The 25,134-nt window shown below is 35.6% G+C and overlaps 1 protein-coding gene across 4 annotated transcripts in view, besides 1 other annotated feature; it reads right to left on the bottom strand.

Moving 5' to 3' along the window:
* The window catches only part of CRPPA (CDP-L-ribitol pyrophosphorylase A), a 334,014-nt gene continuing 310,270 nt past the window's right edge, over positions 1,391 to 25,134 (bottom strand). For all 4 annotated transcript variants that reach the window (NR_160656.1, NM_001101417.4, NM_001368197.1 and 1 more), the window contains one exon: positions 1,391 to 5,665. Coding sequence is in view for 3 of the 4 variants with exons in the window: in NM_001101417.4 (NP_001094887.1) it covers positions 5,561 to 5,665 (105 nt within the window). In the remaining variant the exon portion in view is untranslated. The remainder of the gene's footprint in view (positions 5,666 to 25,134) is intronic.
* Positions 5,637 to 5,837: a silencer, noted in NCBI's record as "peak6410 fragment used in MPRA reporter construct". NCBI's record gives its function as "represses an SCP1 promoter by STARR-seq MPRAs in K562 erythroleukemia cells {active_cell/tissue: K562}" and the evidence as "EXISTENCE:reporter gene assay evidence [ECO:0000049][PMID:32103011]".

Consider the following 25,134-nt stretch of genomic DNA (forward strand, 5'->3'; position numbering starts at 1 on the left):
CACCACACCCGGCAAATTTTTGTATTTTTAGTAGAGACGGGGTTTCACCATGTTGGTCAGGCTGGTCTCGAACTCCTGATCTTGTGATCTGCCTGCCTCGGCCTCCCAAAGTGCTGGTATTACAGGCGTGAGCCACTGCGTCCAGCCGGTTTTGACACCTTTTAAATGGTTATAGGTGTACTACCTACCACATAAAGTAATTATGAAGAATACAGAAGTTATGTGCAAGTAAAATACTAAGAACAGTTTTGGGAACATAGTAATCATTCAGCAAGTTTGCTATTTCTATTACTTATTATTTTAAATGCCCATATATTTAACTCAATATAATCTCATATCCAAGAAAGTTTCACCTCTTTCAAAACCTTTTCACAAACACTCAGGTCTATCTTTCTCCTTTAAAAACTATTGAGTAGGAAATGAGTGATCCTCAGAACCTTCTAGTACTTTGGGATCATTGCTCTAACAATTCTTTTATAAGCATTCTGCTTTAGCAAATGTGTGTCTCTGGATATGTCCTAGATTTGTGAAGGCAAATATACCTCACATTGCCAAAGATTTTCTTTTGTTACCAATTGGTGTGCAATAAAACTACTCAAAACTCAGTACTAGCAAAATGTATGAGCATTTATTTGGCTCACACATCTGCTGGAGGTCAACCTAACTGGGCTAGGTGGCTCTGCTGATCTTAGCTGGGCCCTTCATCCATTTATGGGTTATCTGGAGTTCAGCTGATGTTGGCTCTTGACTTCCTTCCGGAGGCAGCAGGCTAGGCTGGGCATGTTCTTCTCATGGTGGTGGGGGTGGAAGCAGGAGAGACAGTAGAAATACAAAAGGTCTCTGCAGGTCTAGTCTCAGTGGCACACTGACATTTCTGACCCACTGTACTGGCCAAAGCAGGTCACATGATGAATACCAAAGTCCTGAACAAATATTTCTCCAGAAGGCAATGGGAAGAAAAGATTATTTCTGAGCAATAATTCAACTCATTACAGAGATTAAGTAATCACAATACTTCTCTCCACTGTGCCCAAGTATAGGTTTTATATCCTTAGCAGCCACTATAATTGCTAACAACTAGGAGAAGAAGAGGAAATCTATTTAAGACTTCTGGTTTCATAATCAAATATATATATATATGGTTATATATATATGTTTATACATGTAATTTTATATATATATGTGAGTACTATAAAATATATATATTTACATACATAGGTATATATGTGTATATATATATATATTTAGAGAATATAGATCTGGACTTCAAATTATATCTTTATATAATATAAACCATCACAACGTTATATTCTGAGAATGTTACATTTAGTGATTCAATTGTGACTGAGTTTGAAAAAACATGTATAAACTAAAAAAAAAGAAAATGCCATTAGATTTTAAATCAATAATTTATTTACATTTTGTTTTGTAAAAACAACATATTTAGAATCTTTATAGTACTTTTCAATGTCACCTTAAAAATATGCATATGCTTCTTACAATTTTGAAACTGAAATTAATAAGAACATATATAAATGCAACTATAATGCCAACCACCACCTACACAGCTACTTCTAGTCCACTGATTTTAAGCCATACTAACAAATCCTATATCAATTAAAATGCTTCATTATTCTGTTTTCAAATTAAACTTTCTAAATAACTTCTATCTTTCTTCTTGCATATGGTTGACATTTTAATTAAGATGTTAGATTTATGCCTCTGTGAATTTGTAGTTTCAACATTAAAACAAAGTCAAATTTACAGATTTTAAGACATTCTGTAATTTGATTTTTATAAGATGATCACTGTATTTACATAAAGTTGAGTTATAAGTTAGGGAAGAAAAAATTTCTGTTAAATTAATGTAAAATACTTACAATAATAACCATAACAATGACTCTGAGAGAATATAGGGAGCTGACTCTTACCTGTAAATGAGTATACTTGCAACAAGTCATCTCAAATTGAGCACTTTTATGAAAAAAAATAGGACCTCTACCAAAATGTCATTAATCAAACCATTACTCACGCTATGATGAACTCCTAAGACGACTAACTTTAATTTGCATTTAACTAACTAGCGTAAGTTTAGAAAGAAAACCATTTTGCAACAAAATTTCCCACAAGTGGAAGCATTTTCAGAAACCTTGAAGCATAATCACTATTATTTTTTAAGAGATTTTGGAAAATAAAGTGAGAATAGACAGCTTTTACTAAAGTAAATTTACAGAAGCAGTGATGAAAATGTAACTGTAAAGTTACCTCTGGATCTCTCTTTTTTTTTTTTTTTTTTTTTTTGAGACGGAGTCTTGCTCTGTTGCCCAGGCTGGAGTGCAGTGGCGCTATGTCGGCTCACTGCAAGCTCCGCCTCCCAGGTTGACGCCATTCTCCTGCCTAAGCCTCCTGAGTAGCTGGGACTACAGGCGCCCGCCACGATGCCTGGCTATTTTTTTTGTATTTTTACTAGAGACGGGGTTTCACCGCATTAGCCAGGATGGTCTGGATCTCCTGACCTCGTAATCTGCCTGCCTCGGCCTCCCAAAGTGCTGGGATTTCAGGCGTGAGCCATCGCGCCCGGCCAGATCTCTTAAACAACAAAATAATTTCTCTTTTGGCCAATACTTCTATTCATTCCCTTAACTTTAGCTACAATTTCTTTATGCTGGGAAGGTGGCTGGAAAGCCAAAAGCTCCAGGACTTTCACCTAGTCCCTGGACATAAGTGTCCCACCCTTCTTGTCCATTTCGCCAATGTTCATTCAGTGCCTCTGGCTTATATATCACGTCTTATATATCAGACGTGGCTTATATATCAGATGTCTTTGCCAGGGGTCATTGTTAGACAGGAATATAAGCTTAACACTTATTATCAGTCTTCCTTATTTTAAGCCCAAACTTTTGTTACTATTCAGTCACATGATTTTGGCAAGGTAACTAAGATCCCTGAGCTCCAATTTCCTCATGAAAATAGTGAAGGATGTGCAGATATATATACATATAAAATACATATACATAAAACATAAAAATACATATATACGTACGTATATACATATATGTGTGTATATACGTACGTATATACATATATGTGTGTATGCGTACGTATATACATATATGTGTGTATGCGTACGTATATACATATATGTGTGTATGCGTACGTATATACATATATGTGTGTATGCGTACGTATATAAATATATGTGTGTATGCGTACGTATATACATACATACATGCATGTACATATATACGTATATATGTATGTACATAATGTGTATATATGTACGTACATACATATATGTGTATATATGTACGTGCATACATATATGTGTATATATGTACGTACATATATACGGGTATATATGTACGTACATACATAGATATGGGTATATATGTACGTACATACATATATATGTATATACATGTAAGTATATACATATATATGGGTATACATGCATGTATATACATATATATGGGTATACATACATGTATATGTATGTATGTATTTTTTTTTCCCAATGCTGTGAATTGCTTTGCCTGCTATGAAGGACCAAATGCTATTTTTTCCAGGCACAACTTAATATTTTATTAACTAAATTATACTAAATGTTACCAGTTGCCTAGGGTAATGTCATAGTAAGTACTCTGAGATAAATTCTTGTCTGCTGTAGGATTCCTTAAGCTGAAGTCTATGTTAACTCAGCCAGCACTCCAGCGATCAGGGTGATTTTGCTGTGCCACAAATATGCCCAGTTTACTGCATTCTTCTTCAAGGCACTTACCCTCTCTTTAAAGCCTTGATAACATTTCCCCTTCTTCCTTTATGAGCACTTTCAAAGTCTTAAACATTTTCACCTGATGACTTCAACAGGTGCATGTTGGGGACTTGGCAGCTGTGGTTTTCGTCACACACACAGCCGACATCTGAACAAAGGCACAGACATTCCTAACCACAATCCACACATTGCTTACCTATTTCCATCCTCAAAAACTTAAATTAATGGATTTTAAATTTCTTAATATTCCTAGAGAGAGAAAAAGGGCAGGCCCAGGAATTTAGATACAAGCCTACATTCAAATAACACATTTCAATTAGGAGAATGTAAAATATAAACTCTCCTACTATATATATACTTGAACACTAGAGGGAAAATCACCCAACATGTTAAATAAAAATTCCACAAGGTAGATATTGTATAGTGTATCTTTAACTGAAAACACTTCATGCAACTTTTATAGTTTCCACGTGCAGCCTAAGCCCTAATCTGTTTCAATAAAATAAATGTATGTTGGCTGGGTATGGTGGCTCACACCTATAATCCCAGCATTTTGGGAGGCCGAGGCAGGCAGATCACTTGAGGTCAGGAGTTCAAGACCAGCCTGGCCTACATGGCGAAAACCCTTCTCTACTAAAAATACAAAAAAAAAAAAAAAAAAAAAAAATTAGCCAGGTGTGGTGGCAGGTGCCTGTAATCCCAGCTACTCGGGAGGCTGAGGGAGGATAATTGCTTAAACCCAGGAGGCAGAGGTTGCAGTCAGCTGAGATTGTGCCACTGCACTCCAGCCTGACAGAGGGCGACTGCATTTCAAAACAATAAAAAATAAAATAAATAGAGTAAGTGTATGTATAGATTAAAAGTCACCTCTAATGAATTAAAGGACACCCATAATTATAACATGCAAGGGAAAATATTAATATTTCAGATGTATATACCAATGAAAACTGGAAATAAGAACTTGATTTTAAAAGGTAGCAGTATCTGAATTGAAATAACTAATTTAACTCTATGATGTACAATAGATTCTCTACCTTATAGAAGATAACTAACCAGGGATTGACCAGAATCACCTACGAAACTTTCCAGACACTTTTAAGTTCATTCAGAAAAACTAGAGACCCTTTAAAATAATGTAAGTCATAATTATAGTTCATAAACCAAAAATAACATACAATTTAAAAACAGAAAAGAAGGAAATGACATCTGTTTTAGGGATCTTGAGTAATATGTGGCAAATGGGGAAAATGCTAGAAACAAACAGTTCCGTTCCCTGGTATCCCACTCACCCTTTTTTATTAAAGTGTAGACATTTTTAACACAAGACAAAAAGACAAAATATCACCTGGTGACAGGACAATTATAGAAGTGAGAATAATTCTGAAGTTTATCCATTAGCTTCATAATAGTGTAAATTATTAATTAACAGTTAGGATAATAACTGAAGTTTTCTAAATTCTCATTCCTTGAAAGAATAGCTCACCCCATCATTATTTCTATTTGACCGTTCATGTCTCTGTGGAAAGATTCATTTGAAGGCTATTATTTTCCACTTATCTACTATTTTTTTCTGGTTCAGGCAATTAATATTTGTCATACACAAAAGTATTCTTTATTTCACAGATATAAACATTAATCTGCTTTATAATCTAAGCATCACATCCTACAAATTATAGAGAAGATATAAAAGACAACTGAAACATTCTACCACACACAGCAGCGGGGGCACAAAGCACAATTAAGATACGCAAATAGATGTTTTAGAAAATAGGTAATTTTTTGTGTTCTTCATGCTATCAGAAGCTGACCAATGAGTCCAGAATTTCTTTCCTTGATTAATGAAGCAATAATGATAGCACCTTGCCTTAAACTCTCCTGTAGCTTCTGATCATCCTGAAAAGAAAGGATAAACCAGTAATATTTTAGAAAAAACATATGCCATGTGTTAAGTTTGATAAAAAGCCACTTTTCAAGATCTGCTGCGGTCTGGATTTGGCATTTTAGAAACTCAGACTCTAGCCACTGTCATGGACACGGTTCCCCGAATAAAGAGGAAATACTTTCACAAACACTTTTCATTATAGACCAAAAAATATTTGCTTAAGATGCAAGGAAAAACACTGACACAATTTCAAATGCTAACAGAAAGAAAAGATTATTTCCCCTTAATCCAATTTCTGACAACCTTTGGCTCTTCACTGAAGTGTGAATATTTCATCAATGATGCAATCCTTTTCTTCATCTTGTTTCTGAGTGTTCTCCAACTTTGTTATGAACTGTTTGTGAGTACCGGTATAGGGGGGAAAACCCTGCTTGCTGTTTGTAAAGTAAGAATCGGGAAAATTCAAGAAATGAGTTATTTTACAAGTTGCTAAAAAGTGGTTTTGCCTTTGAAATCATATTGCCTGTAAGAATCCATTTATTCTAATTATTTATGAGAAGATTATAATGTGAAGGGAAAATAGAAACAGAGCTAATATCTTTCAGGTCTCTGTGTTGTGAATTGTGCTATCTTTTAAAAGAGGGATGTGGTAACCAATCTCTAAACTCCAGAATCATCCTTAATGCCTTATCCCAATATCCAATATATTACTAGGACCTATTGTAGCTCCTTCCTATTGTTTCTTGCATCCATATACATTGAGATAAGGCATTAGCGATAATGCCGCTCAAACTGCCACTGCCAGCATAGCACCTTCTGTCCTCAATTACTGGAATATTCTCACAGATAGTCCCTCTAAAGTCTTGCCCTCTTATACTTCATTTCCCACAGGGAAGTCAAAATACTTATTTTAAAATATAGATCTGATCACATCAGTATCCTGACTAAAATCCTTTGAAGACTACTTTTAAACCTCAGGATAAAGTCTGATCCCATTACCTGGTAATAAAATGTCTCTTATCCTCTCGGCCTCTTCTTGATATTCCCCTAAAATTACTCAATTCTCCAAGCCACATAGAACTGCTTAAGATTGTCCAAACAAGCTGTTTTTCTGAGCTTGAATATCTTTGGGCCAGCTAATTCCTTTGCCAGAAAAGCTTTCCCACACCCTTTCTAGCTTAGCTGACCCTAATTACTCTTCATGGTTCAACCTAGGTATCAGAGATTCTTGAAATCTACCCTGACTCTATCCTCCAGTCCAGTTTGGGTGAAGTGACTCTATGTTTCCACAGCTGTGAATTCCTCTAGCACACCGAATTTTATAGTCTTTTTTAGTTGACCATCTATTTTACCAGATGATGCATTTTTTGATGTAAAGAATTTTTCATTTTATCTATGAATATGGAACACTTTGCTCAATGCCTAACACATGGTAGCACTCCATAAATTATAACAAATTCAAAGCAAAAGAGGTTCTGATTATGATAGACATATCACCCTTTTAGTTGAGCTCAGTTGTTGACACGGACTGCAATTGCTTACCTTCTTCACTCCTATTTGCATATTTAGCCTAAAGCCTGGCAATAGTACAAAATAAATATATTATTGAAGCCTCACCACAACCATTACATGCTCCCACCACCCTATGTCTGGGTTCCTCAGCTATGAGGATGACGGTGAGAGGCCATCTCTGCTTAAAGTGCTCTTTTCTATCAATTTCCTTGATTGTGTTCTGAGGGGTGGAGCTGGAGAAGATCTGCAAGATGCTGAATGTCAGCTACTTCACTTCTTGAAAGCGGGTTTTATACGACATTTTAAAATTGGATTCAAACACCATTTTGGTTTCCAGAATATCACGATACCTAAACCACATCTAAACAAATCAAAAAACTATATATGTTTGGACTTAAAATATGATTGATTTATATGAGAGATTTCATCTGTGTCACATCATTCATAAACATATAAATAAATATTCTAAAATGAGCAAATACAAACCAACTATTGATATGCATTTGTCATTCTTAATGATCAATTAATTATAGTGCTGCAGGGTCTATAACACACATCTATTCCTAAGTCTCATTTATTAAATTGAGACATAACACAGATGATGATAATTAAGGTTCCTCTTTCAAAAATAAACAGAACAAGTCTGTCTCTATCACCCCGTTGAAACCAGTTTATACTTGTTATAATGAAGGCAGCACAGTAACAAATGAAGAAATTAAGGAAAAACTGTTTAGGATCCCAGGGCTAGAAAAATCACATTTCTATATCTTACAATAAATCATCTATGTTCATTTTGATAGCTCCATAATGTACATATTTTTAGTAAAGAATTTAAGATGTCCTTTTAAAGATTAATTTACTTCTTCAATTTTTTACAGGCTTCATTTTCAAAGATTAGAATTGAAGGACAAGAATCTATGTCATTCTACTGAACATTTGTTTTCCCTCTCTGCCTGAACTCATTTGATCATTCTACCCTTATGAAACATGGAAATTTAAAAACTGATTAAGATGGTTAGACACACATATATTCAGGAAACTCTAGTATGTGAAAAGATTAGATAGTCACACAATTCATGGATATCAAACTCATCTCAAAATTTCCTATCTCTAGAACAGTATTAACACAGGAAAAAAATGCAAACCCAATGTATCTTATAAAAGCACTTCTTGCCTCCAGCAAACATACAAAAAAAATGGTTTTAATCCTTGAGGAGAGTGGGGAGCAGAGGTGCAATACAGGAGATCATTTTATTATTCACATACATAAGTGTGTGTGTGTGTATGTGTGTGTGTATATACACATTATTTTGTGAGTTCCAAATATTATATAATAAACATTTAAAATGTTTATTAAACTCAGGTAAGCAGGGTCCATATGAACAGTGAAAAATCATGCTGATAGTATACATTCTTGAAATTATGTGAAAATAGCATTTATGTATTCCTCCCAAAAACCTGTACCTCCAGGCTAATCATGAGGAAGACATCGGAAAAGTTCCTGTTGGAGGGACATTCTACAATATACCTGACAAGTGCTCCTCAAAACTGTACAGGTCATCAAAAAACAAGGAAAGTGTGAGAAACTGTCACAGCCAAGAGGTGTCTGAAGAGAACTAAAAGTAACATGGGGTACTGGAACAGAAAAACACATTAGGTAGAACTATGGAAATCTCACTAAACTATGCACTTTGTTAATAATAATACATCAATGTTGGTACATAAATTGTAACGAACACATATTAATAATGGGAGAACCTGGGTGTGAGTATATGGGAACTCTCTGCGGCATCCTCTGAATTTGTCTGTATATCTATAAACTGAAGCATACTCCTTTCAAAAAGATATTTTTTAATTGATGACTATTTACAAATGTTATGTTCCGGATTACAAAACCTGAGTTACAAAGGCAATTTATTTTTGCACACTGGACCATTTATATATTCCTTGAAAAACGTACAATATTCCTTTAATAAACTATGCAGTTGGGAAGTCAGATTGCTGCTATTTATATACAGCCTTGACAACTTAAGTGATCTTTGAGCAAACAGCTGAAGTTGTACAGCTCTCCATTTTTTTCATCTAAAAATGGGATAACATTTTTTGTGGGAACTTAGATAAGACATGTAAAGCACTGATACCTAGTAAATATTCAATAATAATAGCAGTTAGAATTATTACCTTTATGAAGTAAACTAATTTCAGCTATGATAGAGTAGGGTATATCACCCTCTCACCATATATAGCCATTAAATCTGGAAAACTTATGTGAGAATATTTTTTGCAGGTCTTGGACAGTAACATATGCATGTCTATAATCCTTGAAAGAAGAGCCTCCTAACATTCTCCCCAGCTGTCATGCTGAGAGCTTTTTTCCAATCTACAAAGAAGAGAAACAGAACCCAAGGAGAGCATAGCAATCTCTCTGGGTAGAAAAGACATAGATTAACAATTTAAAGCTGTCAAAGTGGCTTGTATTTCTGCAGGCAGCATGCCTGACAGGAAGGAATTGCTGAGAACTCCTAAAAATCTGCTAAAAATTCCTTCAGTCCTTGGCCAGCTCCTAACTGTGCATGCCCAAGGAGAAACTCAACGAGGCCTAGCAGAGAATAACTGCTGGAAAGTTGGAGAGCTGAGGAGAGATTTTTGAGGCCCCACTGTGCCAAGGAGCAGGAGGTTAAATCTGAGTCCAGCTAGAATGAAGACGCCTTGGTGAACACCCATGGCTTTCAGCTGGGATATCTGAAAAGCCATGACTACAGCCTGGGTATAAGGCAAAACTGAATCCGACCAGCCCTAAGAAAGCTTCAACAACGTCCACAGGATCAAATTGATTCAGCAATACAACTGCTTGCTAGAACAAATTTCATATTCCTTAGAGGACATTAAAATAATCTTGAGCTTTTATAATGTTTTGCACTCAAAGTGTGGTATCAAATATCACTAGATAGGCAAAGAAGCAGAAAGCAAAGATGCAGAAAAAAAAACACCCATAATCAGGAGAAAAAAATAATTTAAGCAGACCCAGAAATGAGACATACATTGGAATCATCATGCAAGGATTTCAAAATAACTATGCCTAAGACACTAAAAAATAGAACTAGAGATAAAAATGTTGATGAAAAATGGAAATTTTCAACATAGAATCTATAATAAAGAGAATTTTACAATTATAAAATGCTTGAAATTAAGAATTAATTGGACTAGTTTTATAATGAATAGGCAGAGCAGAACACAGTACAAGCAATCTTGAAGATAGTAAAAAAAAAATTTGTTTTATCATCTTGTTCACTTCATAACAGTGTCAATTTTGTTTTAGAAAATTTTGTTGCCCAGGGTAGAGTGCAGGTTGCCCAGGTTGATCTCAAACTCCTAGGCTTAAGCAATCCTTCTACCTCATCCTCCCAAAGTACCAGGCTTATAGGTGTGAACTATTACAGCCAGCTTCACTCTTTTTCTTGGTTACAACTATATTATAGCAAAAATAGAGACCAGCTAAAAAGGGGGAAAACAGTATACTCTTCAGTAGTCCGCTTTCTTAACATACTGGGCGGGAAAATATAAACATGTTGACAGAAGTTATTTTTGGATGATGGCTTTATGACAATATTATTTCTTCTTTCTGCTTTGCTATATTTTCAAAACCCCCACAATGAACACATTTTATTCTTGGAGGAAAAACAAATTATTTTAAAATTTAGTTTTAAGACTGTTAAATTCAGGGAGCTAAACTTGATTTGTTGTCATAGAAAATCAATAGTACTGAACGTTGTCCAAATTCCGGGAGCATTTCTCTCCATAAATATTTTCAAAATCTATACAAAGAAAACCTTTTTTGCTTGAAAATTCAAGGCTTCAGTAAAAGGCCCCTAAAGGAATCATATTAATAATTCACAAAGTCTTAGCTTTCTTCTTAGATATTAAGAAAACTATCTAAAAGTAATAACAAAAAAAGTGTACTTAATTTTACCCAGCATGTAACAATTGTTCACTGAGATCTTAAAGAGTTTCATAATAGCTGTGTTTTAAGACTATTAGAAGACAAAAACGCAATATAATATATGCATTTTTAATTTTCTAAATTATCAGACTGAATTATTTAGGATTAAAATTCACCATGAGTTTTACCTAGAAACTTATATTTAGCTATTTCTCTACCACCTATAATTTCAAGTTTAGGATGAAATACACCATGTTTGGGTGAAAGATGCACAAAAGAAGAGCTCTAATTACCATTATCTTTTAAACATACAAGGTAATTCTAAATTTAGTCATAGTAATGAAGTCGTGTCAATAAAGTCCCACATGCCAGTCTTTGTGTGCGTTTGTCTTTTTGTTGTTGACTTGGTTCTTTTGTGATGACTATATCCAGCATCAAGTGAAGTCTTGATGAAACTTTGATGGGACTCCTAAGCCTTTGGCAAACTTGTGGGAAATCAGGAAAAGCAGGAGATTTTCACAGAAGATTGGAAATGACAGTGGCACCTCTATAACTCATAGTGGCTCTTCAGTTACATCCTTCTCCACCTCCCACCTCAAAATTTGAGCAAGGAAAGGCTGAAGTAATGTAAATTACTAATATGTAGCACCTTGCAAGTGTATAAGTGGTCAACTTTATATGATGCCCATGTCCTCAAAAATCCTTACTTACTAACTGTCCCTTTCAATTTTCTCAAAGGATAACTTCGGGAGAAACTATTCCCAGAGTACTTAATATTGACAAGCTTTTTTAAAAAGTATATTTTGAAACAATAAATCCCATAATTGAACTACACACATATCAGCATTTGAATTTAAAAAGTGTAAACAAACTTATAGTAGGCTGTTAGAATCAAATTTATGTGGATTTGGTGGAATGCCATCTCAAAGAATAGCAGGAAAAGCTATGATGTAATTCTCCTCTAAATCTTTATGGACAAGCTGAAAGGAAATCTCTTGGAGATACCTATCCTCTATACACATCACTTCTAAAGAACACAATGTACTCTGCTAAAAGGAAAACTATAAAGTTAAAATGTATGCATATGTATTTAGGCTTTAGATGTCTCAAGAGATTACACAATGTTTCTTTAAGGGTAAACATTTACATTGTCTCAGCAAATTCCATACCTAAAACCTAATTCAATTTCCATGAGTTACAAAATCTCCTGAAATTCAGGTTGCTCATAGTTTGATATTAATACCCTTCTTCCATCCTTGTTTTGGAGAACTTATGCAAAAATTATTATTTAAATGTCACAAAATTTCAAACACTAAACAAAAATGTACTAGCTATATTTACATCTAGTCATAAATATACACATCCCTATCTCTGTACCATATACAATATACAAAAACCACAAGTGTTAGACTTACTAAACCTTCAACAGACTTGTTATAAGATCATTAATATCAAATCAAAATAATTTGAAGCTAAATTTTCTTTTTGTAAACATTTTGCTGATATGGAAGAAAAAACCTAACGGGGGCACACTGTCCCCTAGTGGAGATGAAAATAACTTTTCAGTGTATGTCAATTGCCAAAACTGCAGGAAAAAGCGATCACCTACTGATAGGGTGTGAGAAAAACAAAACAGCCTCCTCCGAATGAGAAACATTTTCCTCTTGCTCCTGTGAGTGATAACAAATGCCTCTCAAAAACTTAGATAATACTAATGAAAATGCACTTGGGTTTACTGATTAACATAATCATCGCACAACAGTTTTAGTCTTTTTTATTTTCTGTGTCTAGAAACAGGGCCTTACAATACAGTAGGAATTCAATAACTGTTTTGGAAAGAGATAATTAAGAAAAAAGGATTGGGAAGCCAGGTGCCATGGCTCAAGCCTGTAGTTCCTGCTACGAAGGTGGCTGAGTGGGGAGGATCACTTGAACCCAGGAGTTCAAGGCCGCAGTGAGCAATGATTGTGCCACTGCACTGCAGCCTAGGTGACAGAGCAAGACCCTATCTCTTTAAAAAGAGGAGAGGGAGAGGGGCAGAAAAAAAAAGGAAAGAAAAAAAGGAAAGGGAAGGAAAAAACAAAGGAAAAAAGGGAAGGGACAGGAAGGGGAGGGAAGGGGAGTGTAGAGGAAGGCAGAGGGAAGGGGAGGGGAGAAGGAAGGGGAGGGAAGGGGAGGGGAGGGAAGGGGAGGGAAAAAGGAGGGAGGGAAAAGGGCAGGAAAAACATAAGGAGAAGGGAAGAGGGAAGGGAAGGGAAGGGAAAAGGGAAGGAAAGAGGGAAGGAGAAGGGAAGGGAAAGGTTGGTCAATAAAATTCAGTAAAACCCTGTAAGGCAGCACCGATACTTTACGGAGCAGGAACAGAGAGTAGGAAAGACACAAACTACAGTGCTCAGAGCCAGATTGCAGTGAGGAAAAATGTAGACAGCCAAAAGGCATCAGACATCTGGCCTGAAGAACAAACAGTTCATTATTGCATCCAATATTTCTAGATCTGGGACTTGTGACACTGTTACATTTTATTTTCTTAAATCAATCATAAAGTAAATTCCACAACTTAATAAAATTGAAAAAGCAGTGTCATATACAACATCCTTTTTAATTAGCAAAAAATGTTTTGATCCTACACAACTCACCCAGCAATTACCAACACCTGCTAGTTTTCTATTGTCATGCTCCAACCACTGTAAGCCTACATTAACACCATCCTATGCCTGGACTCCTCCAGGATGCTCTAACTGGTCACTTCTGTCTGTTTTTGGCTACTGCTCCAACCTCCCTAAAATAGCCACCTTCACTCTATCAAACTCACAATTTTCAGCTACTCCTGTTAGCTTTCAAGGTCATCCACTATCAACCTAATCAACCCTTCTAACTGCAATTCTCTTTCTTTTACTGTTCAGAATCCACTTTTGTTGCCATCCCAGTATAATCATTATTATTTCTGCCCCCAGAAAAATGGTTTCCCAGTAACTGTCTAATTGACATCAATTTTTAAAGACTCAGCTGTAATGACTACCTCTTAAGATGTCATCTATTTTTTATTGCATATCAGTAATTTATGTTATCATAGTTTTTCTCAAAATCCCTAATGTTTTTATTTGGTTTGCAATCTACAGGACTTAATTTCTCAGCTAAATCGTAAGATACTAAAAGATAACTTTTCCAAATTCTAAACTCAAACATAGTACTATGTCCACAGTAGGCACTCGGTAAATATTTATTAGTTAGAATAATTGGCTAATTAACTCTATAAAGAGGTGACCTTTTAGCTTACCTTAAGATATCTTTGAAATATCGAACGTTTTAGGCTGAGACAATGGAGTTTTCTAAATATACAATCATGTCATCTGCAAACAGAGACAATTTGACTTCCTCTCTTCCTATTTGAATATCCTTTATTTCCTTCCCTTGCCTGATTGCCCTGGCCAGAACTTCCAATACTATGTTGAATAGGAGTGGTGAGAGAGGGCATCCTTGTCTTGTGCCAGTTTTCAAAGGGAATGCTTCCAGCTTTTGCCCATTCAGTATGATATTGGCTGTGGGTTTGTCATACGTAGCTCTTATTATTTTGAGATATGTTCCATAAACACCTAGTTTATTGAGTGTTTTTAGCATGAAGGGGTGTTGAATATTATTGAGGGCCTTTTCTGCATCTATTGAGATAATCATGTGGTTTTTGTCATTGGTTCCATTTATGTGATGGATTACATTTATTGATTTGTGTATGTTGAAACAGCCTTGCATCCCAGGGATGAAGCCAATTTGATCATGGTGGATAAGCTTTTTGATGTGCTGCTGGAATTGGCTTGCCAGTATTTTATTGAGGATTTTTGCATCGATGTTCATCAGGGATATTGGCCTGAGACACAACTTTTTTTGTTGTGTCTCTGCCAGGTGTTTGTATCAGGATGATGCTGGCCTCATAAAATCAGTTAGGGAGGAATCTCTCTTTTTCTATTGTTTAGAAGAGTTTCAGAATAAATGGTACCAGCTCCTCTTTGTACCTCTGGTAGAATTCGGCTGTGAATCTGTCTGGTCCTGGGCTTTTTTTGGTTGGTAGGCTACCAATTATTGCCTCAATTTCAGAACTTGCTACTCAGTGATTCAACTACTTCCTGGTTAGTTTAGTCTTGGGAGAGTGTATGTGTCCAGGAATTTATCCATTTCTTCTAGATTTTCTAGTTTATTTGTGTAGGTGTGTTTATAGTATTCTCTGATGGTACTTTATATTTCTTTGGGATCAGTGGTGATATCCCCTTTATCATTTTTTTATTGCATCTATATGATTCTTCTCTCTTTTCTTCTTTATTATTCTGGCTAGTGGTCTATCTAGTTTGTTAATCTTTTAAAAAAAAAACAGCTCCTGGATTGAGCAAAGTCTCGGGATAGAAAATCAATGTGCAAAAATCACAAGCATTCCTATACACCAATAATAGACAGAGAGCCAAATCATGAGTTAACTCTCATTCACAATTGCTTCAAAGAGAATAGAATACAACTCAGAAGGGATGTGAAATACCTCTTCAAGGAGAACTACAATCCACTGCTCACGGAAATAAGAGAGGACACAAACAGATGAAAAAACATTCCATGCTCATGGATAGGAAGAACCAATAACATGAAAATGGCCATATTGCCCAACGTAATTTATAGATTCAGTGCTATCCCCCTCAAGCTACCATTGAATTTTTTCACAGAATTAGAAAAAACTACCTTAAATTTCATATGGAACCAAAAAAGAGCCCATACAGCCAAGACAATCCTAAGCAAAAAGAACAAAGCTGGAGGCATCATGGTACCTGACTTTAAACTATACTACAAGGCTACTGTAACCAAAACAGCATGGTACTGGTACCAAAACAGATATATAGACCAATGGAACAAAACAGAGACCTCAGAAATAACACCACACGTCTACAGCCATCTGATCTTTCACCAACCTGACAAAAACAATCAATGGGGAAAGGATTCCCTATTTAATAAATGGTGTTAGGAAAACTGGCTATCCATATACAGAAAACTGAAACTGGACCCCTTCCTTATACCTTATACAAAAATTAACTCAAGATGGATTAAAAACTTCAACGTAAGACATAAAACCATAAAAATCCTAGAAGAAAACTGAGGCAATACCATTCAGGACACAGGCATGGGCAAAGGCTTCATGACTAAAACACCAAAAGCAATGGCAACCAGAGCCAAAATTGACAAATGGGATCTAATTAACTAAAGCACTTCTGCACAGCAACAGAAATGATCATCAAAATATACAGGCAACCTACAGAATGGGAGAAAATTTTTGCCATCTATCTGTCTGACAAAGGGCTAATATCCAGAATCTACAAGGAACTTAAACAAATTTACAAGAAAAAAAACAAACAACTGCATTAAAACGTGGGCAAAGGATATAAACAGACACTTCTCAACAGAAGACATTTACGTGACCAACAAACATGTGAAAAAAAGCTCATCACTGGTCAGTAGAGAAATGCAAATCAAAACCACAATGAGATGCCATCTCACGCCAGTTAGAATGGCGACCATTAAAAAGTCAGGAAACAACAGATGCTGGAGAGGATGTGGAGAAATAGGAACACTTTTACACTGTTGATGGGTGTGTAAATTAGTTCAACCATTGTGGAAGACAGTGTGGCAATTCCTCAAGGATCTAGAACTAGAAATACCATTTGACCCAGGAATCCCATTATTGGGTATATACCCAAAGGATTATAAATCATTCTACCATAAAGACAGATGCACACATATATTTATTGTAGCACTGTTCACAATAGGAAAGACTTGGAACCAACCCAGATGCCCATCAATTATAGACTGGATAAAGAAAATGTGGCACATGTACACCATGGAATACTATGCAGCCATAAAAAGAATGATATTATGTCCTTTGCAGGGACATGGATGAAGCTGGAAACCATCATTCTCAGCAGACTAACACAGCAAGAGAAAACAAAACACCGCATGTTCTCACTCATAAGTGGGAGTTGAACAATGAGGACACATGGACACAGGAAGGGGAACATCACACATCAGGGCCTGTTGGTGGGTGTGGGACTAGGGGAGGGATAGCATTAGGAGAAATACCTAATATAGATGACGGGTTGATGGGTGCAGCAAACCATCATGACACGTTTATACCTTTGTAACAAACCTCAACATTCTGCACATGTATCCCAGAACTTAAAGTATAATTTTAAAAAAAGAAATATCAAAGGTTTTAGATGAAGGCTACATTGTCATGAAAATAACACCATAAAAATAAAAACCTTATATTTGTACTTGGGAACTGGAAACAGTGTCAAAAACTAGGAATTTGTACTCCATGATTCTTCCTCCTATGAAAAAACACCCAGTCTAAGAAGTAAGTGTAAGGGACACTGATAAATCTATACTAACACACCCAAGTCTGGGGGATAAGGGCAGACAATGAGGCAGGCATTCTCTTAAATGGGGTGGCTGCATAAATAGAAAGCTATATACCAGCTGTTGTTAGGCAATGGATACAATTTCCAGAACATATGATAACTTATAGGAGGGATAGAAAGCTTATCCTAGAGTTACTTCTCTAGTTAATGGTCCAGGTGTCAGTAGAATAATATTGATAATTTCTCAAGAAGCAGAAAGACTGGTTAGATTTGTTCACATAACATTTAGTTTCAAAATTTTAAATTATAAACTTAATGCAAAAAAAAGAATAAAATGGGCCAATTCAAACATACCTTCTTGGCAGAAACATGGGGCAAAGAAAAGGATCATTTAAAGGATATTTTTGACTAGTTAAAAAGACCCCTGGTTAATGACTATTAGGCTTTTGAATATTGGTTAATGGGTAGATAGTTAGTATCCAAAGTGTTAATCTCAAAGTTTCACAGTTGTTTACCATTATGTTAGAAATTATTTCCTTCCAAGAAGGTGGCCATGAATTACAACCTGCAAAAATACTTCTGTTCTGAATAGAGTAGTGCCAATTTTTATCAGCCTTAGTTAGCAAAATCCTAGCCTGGCAAAGCTCCCTCCCAGAATCAAGAGCAGAAGCAATCCTTTCTCAAGGTCACAGATGGTAGAATTATTGCCTATAGAGATTCTTCCCAATAGGGAGGTAGAACAAAAATCAACATATAGATGAAGTCATTCTCCAGGTGGAAAGAACTTTTAAGAATCATTACAATTAAATGTCTCTCTGAAATGATGCTTTTGAGTACAACTAGAAAACATGTTACATATTTTCTGATTTTCAGTCTCAGGAAGACTAAAGAAGATGTTTCAACTATAGAGGTGGGCACAAAGTAGGAATAATCTTGTGTCAGAAGAGTTCATGTGGATATTAAATGTATTTTGAATTAAAAATCTCATTAGAGGCTGGGTGCAGTGGCTCACGCCTGTAATCCCAGCACTCTAGGAGGCCAAGGTGGGCAGATCACGAGGTCAGGGGATCAAGACCAACCTGGTCAACATGATGAAATCCCATCTCTACAAAAAATACAAACAATTAGCCAGGCATGGTGGCGTGCGCCTGTAGTCCCAGCTACTCAGGAGGCTGAGGCAGAAGAATTGCTTGAACCTGGGAGGCGGAGGCTGCAGTGAGCCGAGATCACGCCACTGCACTCCAGCCTGGGCAACAGAGTGAGACTCCATCTCAAAGAAAAAAAAAAAAGAAAAAAAAAATCTTATTAGAGGTAGTGTACAACTTATTTTATCATCAAAACTGTATTATATACATAGAAGACAGACTTGAAATGTCTAGAACTCAGGAGAAAACAGTGAAAACAGTGACAGAAACATCAAGGCATTAATTTAAAATATAAGGGAATCCTGGAGAGAAAACACAACAGATTTTGTGGAAGTCATTATACAGGTGTAGAATAGGTGAGGTCAGCAAGATGGCAAAATGGGAAGTCTTCTCCTCCACCAACCTCCAGAGAAAGTTCAACTAGCAACTATCCGCAGACTGGAAGAATATCTTTTTTTAAACCCCAACACTTGGAAACAAGACTGAGACACCAATGTGGTCCATAGAAACGAATGAAGTTACAATGAGAAAGGTAAGAAGAATGATCTCACTCCAACTATGACATCCCTCATCCTCCTCTAAGATGGCACAATGCCAGATGAAAAGAATTTCCCTGGGTCCCCACAGTTTCTATGAGTTGATGGCAGGGGTGTGAAATAGAGACAGTCATACCCATCCCTACCATTCTGGCATGCTTCCTAGAAAGCCCACTTTGGTTTTATTATTTCATAGAAAACAGTAGTGAAAATGTCATGACTACACCACTTGGGATCAGGTAGAAACAAAGGAGGCAGAGGTCCTAGTGATCATGTCACAGATCTTGGTGGTACCTCTGTGTTCCTACCACTGATGGTATCCAATTGCAGATATCAGTCAACCTCATAACCCACCCACAAAGCTGAGCTGGTTGCCTTCAGAAGCCTGATGGGATGTTCAACAAAACTTGAGTCCTAGACATCGTAAGTCATCCTGCCCAACCTCAGAGACCACCCCAAAGATCCTGTACAGGCAGAAAGGTGCCCACTTCCTTCCATTTCAGAAACAATGAAGAGGCTAAATTGGCTTGACCCAGGAAGCCAAGCAGCACCTCTATGAAGCTAAAAGTCCTACCCAATGACCCCATTCAGGAAAGAAGAATCCTACTTCTTTAGATTTTAGAGAAATGAATGGACTACACCAGTTTGACCCAGAAAGTCAAACAGTGGCTCCAGTAAGCCAATAAGCCCTCCCAACAACTTTGCACAGGCAGGGAGACTTCCACATCTGCACATCTCAGAGAAGTGTAGCCAGCTTGACCCAGAAAGTCAAGCAGTGATTCCACTCACTGTAACCCAAAACTCAGGGGTTCCACCCAGCCTAAAAGCCCACCCAATAACTTTCCCATTTCCAAAAATTTGGAGAACCATAAGAGCTAGACCTGCTTGACCACGGAAGTCAAACAGCCACTCAATTCTGCAAAAAAAACCCATCCTGTGGCTCCACCTTGACAAGTAGTCAATTGTCAACCACGCATTTCTAAAGAGCATAGCCTCTCTTCTGACCTGTGCTGAGCAGCAATTCTGCCTAAACTTGGAGTCCAGCCTGCAGCCTTGCCCAGCTATAGATCCCAAAGAGTTGAATTGGCCATCCAGGGAGTGTATCTTGTGACTAGTCTGACCAGAAGCTACTACAGTATCCAGCCAGAAACTATGCCTAATAGCAGATCCCAGCCACCAGACAGCAGAGCCCAACCAGTAGCCCCACCTGACATTTGAGCAAAAGGTGGTGACTCAGCCAACTGGAGAACTCACAACAAGTTCTACCCGTCTGGGGTTGTTACCAGCTGGCCCTTCCAGAATCACAGTCTAGGCTACATAGTGAAGATCTATCCCTGCTAAAGAACACCTCTTAGGCTAGAAGAGGGGGCTGCTGTCTCAAATGTACAGACAACAATGCAAAGACATAATAATTTAATAATTATGAAGAATAAGGGAATCGTGACACCTCTAAAAGAAAGTAATAAAGCCCCAATAGTCTACCTCAAAGGAATGTACATTTATGAAATGACTGAAGAAGAGAATTCAGAATAATACTCAAAAAAGTTCAGTGAACTATAAGAATATACAGATAGGAAATTTCATGGAATTTGGAAAACAAAGACTTGACAAAGAAATAAAAATAATTTTTAAAAATTAGATAAAAATCCTAGAAATAAAAAATACAGTGACTGATCTGAAAAACTCAAAAGAAACCTTCAACAGCAGACTCAATTAAGCAGAAGAATCAATTAGCTGGAAGACAGAACATTTAAAATTATACAGTTAGTGAAGAAGAACACAAAAGAAGAAAGAAGGCTATAGGAATTAAGGGACAGCAGCAAAGGACCGAACATTCACATAATGGGGAACTGCAGACGGAATAGAAAGCAGAAGGGCCAAAAAAAAACAAAAACATCTTCAAAGAAATAATGGCTGAGAAATGACTTTCTGGGGATGCATGCCAACACCCAAGGACAGAAAGCATAGCGGTCTCTAATCAATGCAACCCAGAAAGAAGTTCATCAAGGCACATAATGAACTATCAAAATCAAAAAATAAATAAAATTCTGAGAGCAGCAAGACATAAGAAACATATCACATACAAAGGAATGACAATGTGACTATAAGCAGATTTCTCAGCAGAAACCTTGTATGCCAGGAGAAAATGGGATGATATATTCAAAGTCTTAAATAAAAAAAAAGACAAACAACAAAGAATACTTTATTCAGCAAAGCTATATTTCAGAAATGAAGGAGAAATAAGAAGTTTCTCATAAAATAAAAGCAAAGGGAGTTCATCACTGGCATACTCATAGGAACTGGTAAAGCAAGTTTTTTAAACTGAAACAAAAAGCTGTTAATTAATAATATGAACTATAAAAAAGCAAAAAAAATCAATTGTATAAGTAAAACAGTCATATTCAGAATACTCTAAAACTGTAATGATGGTAAGACCTAGTATGAGGGTTTTATACTAGTATGAGAGTTTAAAAAAACACTACTAATAAATATAGCTAAAATTGTCAGGGATACATATTATACAATATGAAAATTCTGACATCAAAAATATAAAATGTAGAGGAGAGGATAAGTACAAAGTAGAGTTATATGCAATCAAAGTTAGTTTTTCACTTTGAAATAACTGGAAATAGACAGTTATAAGATGTTCTACATAAGCCTCATGGTAACCACAAAGAAAAAATATTCAGTGGAAATACAAAACAAAAATAAAAGGATTCAAAGCATGCTAGCACAGAAAACCATTAAATCACAAGAGAAGAAAAAAATACAGTATCTACAAAATAACAGAAAACAACAAAAATGGCAGTAGTAAATCCTTACCTATCAATAATTGCCAAGAACATAAATGAATTGAATTCTCTGAGACACAAAGTAACTAAATGTGTAATAAAACAAGATCCAATTATAGGCCTACTAGAGACTTACTTCACTTTTAATGACATACATAGACTGTAAATGAAGGGATGGAAAGGATATTTTTTGCAAAAGGAAACCAAAAGATAGCAACAGTAGCTATACTTAGACAAAATAGACTTTACACCAAATACATCATAAAGAGACAAAGGATATTATAAATAATAAAGGGTCAACATAATATAACAATTATAAATACATATGCACCCAACAACAGAGCACTTAAGTATATGAAACAAATATTAAAGATCTGAAAGGAGATATACATGAGAATACAATAATAGTAGGGGACAACAATATCCCACTTTCAACAATGAAAAGATCATCCAGACAGAAAATTAACAAGGATATATTATACTTGAACAATACTTTAGACCATATGGACCTCACAGACTTATACAGAACATTCTGTCCAACAGCAATAGAATACATATTCTTCTCAAGCAGATGAAATATTCTCCGGGATAGATCTCACATGTTAGAGCACAAAATAAGCCTCAGAAAATTTAAAATACTAAAATTATATTAAGTCTCTTTTCTGACCACATAGTGTAATATATAATTAGACATCAATAACAGGAGAAATGGCAGAAAAATTATAAATGCATGAAAATTAAACAACATGCTACTGAAAGACCAATGAATCAATAAAGAAAAGAAAAATTTGTTAAATATTTTGCGACAAATAGAAATGAGAACACAACAGCAGGCCTTAGGAGAAAGTTTGTAATGATAAATGCCTACATCAAAAAAAGAAAAAAACATTTCAAGTGAACAATCTAGTGTTACATCTCAAGAAACTAGAAAAAGACAAACTCGGCCTTAAGTTAGCAGAAAAAAAGTGGTGATAATAAAGATAAGAGCAAAAGTAAATATAAGAGATTAGAGGACAACATAAAACATAAATAAAACTAAGAGTTGGTCTTTGGGAAAGATAATTAACAAACCTTTAGGCAGAGTAAGAGAAAAGAGAAGACTCAAATAAAATATAAATGAAAAAGGACACATTACAACTGATAACACAAAAATACAAAGGGTAAGAGACTACCTCAAACAATTATAAGTCAATGAATTGAGTAACCCAGAATAAATGCATAAATTCCTAGATACCTACAAACTACCGAAATTGAACCATGAAGAAACGGAAAATAAGAAAAGACCAATAACAAGTAAGGAGAGTGAATCAAGAATAAAAAGTCTCCCACCAAGGAAAAGTCTAGGACCTGAGGGTTTCTTGGCTGAATTCTACCAAATATTTAAAAAACTACAAGAAAATAAACTGTATTACAAAAACATTACACTTACAAGAAAAGAAAATTGCAGACCAATATCTTTCAGGAACATAGATGCCAAAGTCCTCAACAAAATACTAGCAAACCGAACAACAAATTAAAAGGATAATCTACTATGACAGATGCAAGGATGATTCAACATATACAAATCAACAAGTGCTGTACCTCATATTAACAGAATGAAGGAAAAAACCATATAATCTCATCCAGATGCAAAAAAAGCACTTGACAAAATTCAGCATCCTTTCATGTTAAAACTCTCACATTAGGTATAGAATAAACTTACTTCAACACAATAAAGGCCATATATGGGAAACATTATGCCACAGCTAACAGTATAGTTAATGCTGAAGCCTTTCTACTAAGTTCCAAAACAAGACAACATGCCCACACTTACCACTTCTATTTTATAGAATATTGGAAGTCCCTCCCATAGCAACTAGCCAAGAGAAAGAAATAAAAGACATCCAAACAGAAAAGAAGTGAAATTCTCACTGTTTGCGGATGACATGATCTTATATATATATAGAAAGCTGTTAACAGTTGAAAAAAATACACATATACAGTAAGGTTGCAAAATACAAAATCAGTACACAAAACTCAGTAGCATTTTTATATACTAGCAACAAACCTGTGAAAAGGAAATCAAGAGGACAGTCACATTCATGATAGCTGTAAAAATATTTGGGAATAAATTTAATCAACAAGGTAAAGACCTATATAGTGAAAACTGTAAAACACTGATAAAAAAATTGAAGACAACACTAATATATAGAAAGATATCTCATGTTCACATATTGGAAGAATTAGTATTGTTAAAATACCCCTTCTACTCAGAGCAATCTATAAACTTAACACCATTCCTAACAATATTCTAATGTCATTTTTCATACAAATAAAAAATATTGTTAAGTTCATATGGAACTGCAAAAAACCTTGAATAGCCAAGGCAGCCACGAGCGAAAAGAGCCAAGCTGAAGGCATCACAATACCTGATTTCAAACTATACTACAGAGCTATAGTAATCAAAACAGCATGGTACTGGTTAAAAAGAGGGAGAGAGAGACATACACAAACACACACAAAGACCAACAAAACAGAGTAGAAAGCTCAGAAAGGAATACATGCATATACAGTCAATTGATTTTTGACAAAGGTGCCAAGAACACATAATGTGAAACGGATAATTTTTTTCAATAAATGGTGCTGGGAAACCTAGATATCCACATTCAGAAGAATGAAATTGGGCCCTAATCTCACACCATATATAAAAATCAACTTGAAATGCACTAAAGACTTAAATACAAGACCAAAAGCTATAAAACTATTAGAAGAAGACAGAAGAAAAACTGCACAACATGGGCAATGATTTCTCAGATTGGACTACATAAGTACAGGAAACAAAAGCGAAAGTAGACAAGTGTGATTAGATCAAACTCAAAAGGAAGCAACAGTAGGAAGAGACAATCTACAGATTGGGAGAAAATCTGTGCATGCCATATACCCAATAAGAGGTTAATATTTAAAATATTTAAGTAGCTCAAACATTTCAATGGCAAGAAAACAAAGCAAACAATTAAAAAAAAATTAAAAACGGCAAGGGACCTGAATAAACATTTCTCAAAAGAAAAAATACAAACGGCCAACAAGTGTATGAAAAAATGCTTAACATCCGTAATCACTAGAGAAATGCAAATTTAACCTACAATAAGATATCATCTCACACCTGTCAGAATGGCTACTACCAAGAAGA

Source organism: Homo sapiens, chromosome 7 (assembly GCF_000001405.40).
Source record: "Homo sapiens chromosome 7, GRCh38.p14 Primary Assembly".
Lineage (NCBI taxonomy): Eukaryota > Metazoa > Chordata > Mammalia > Primates > Hominidae > Homo > Homo sapiens.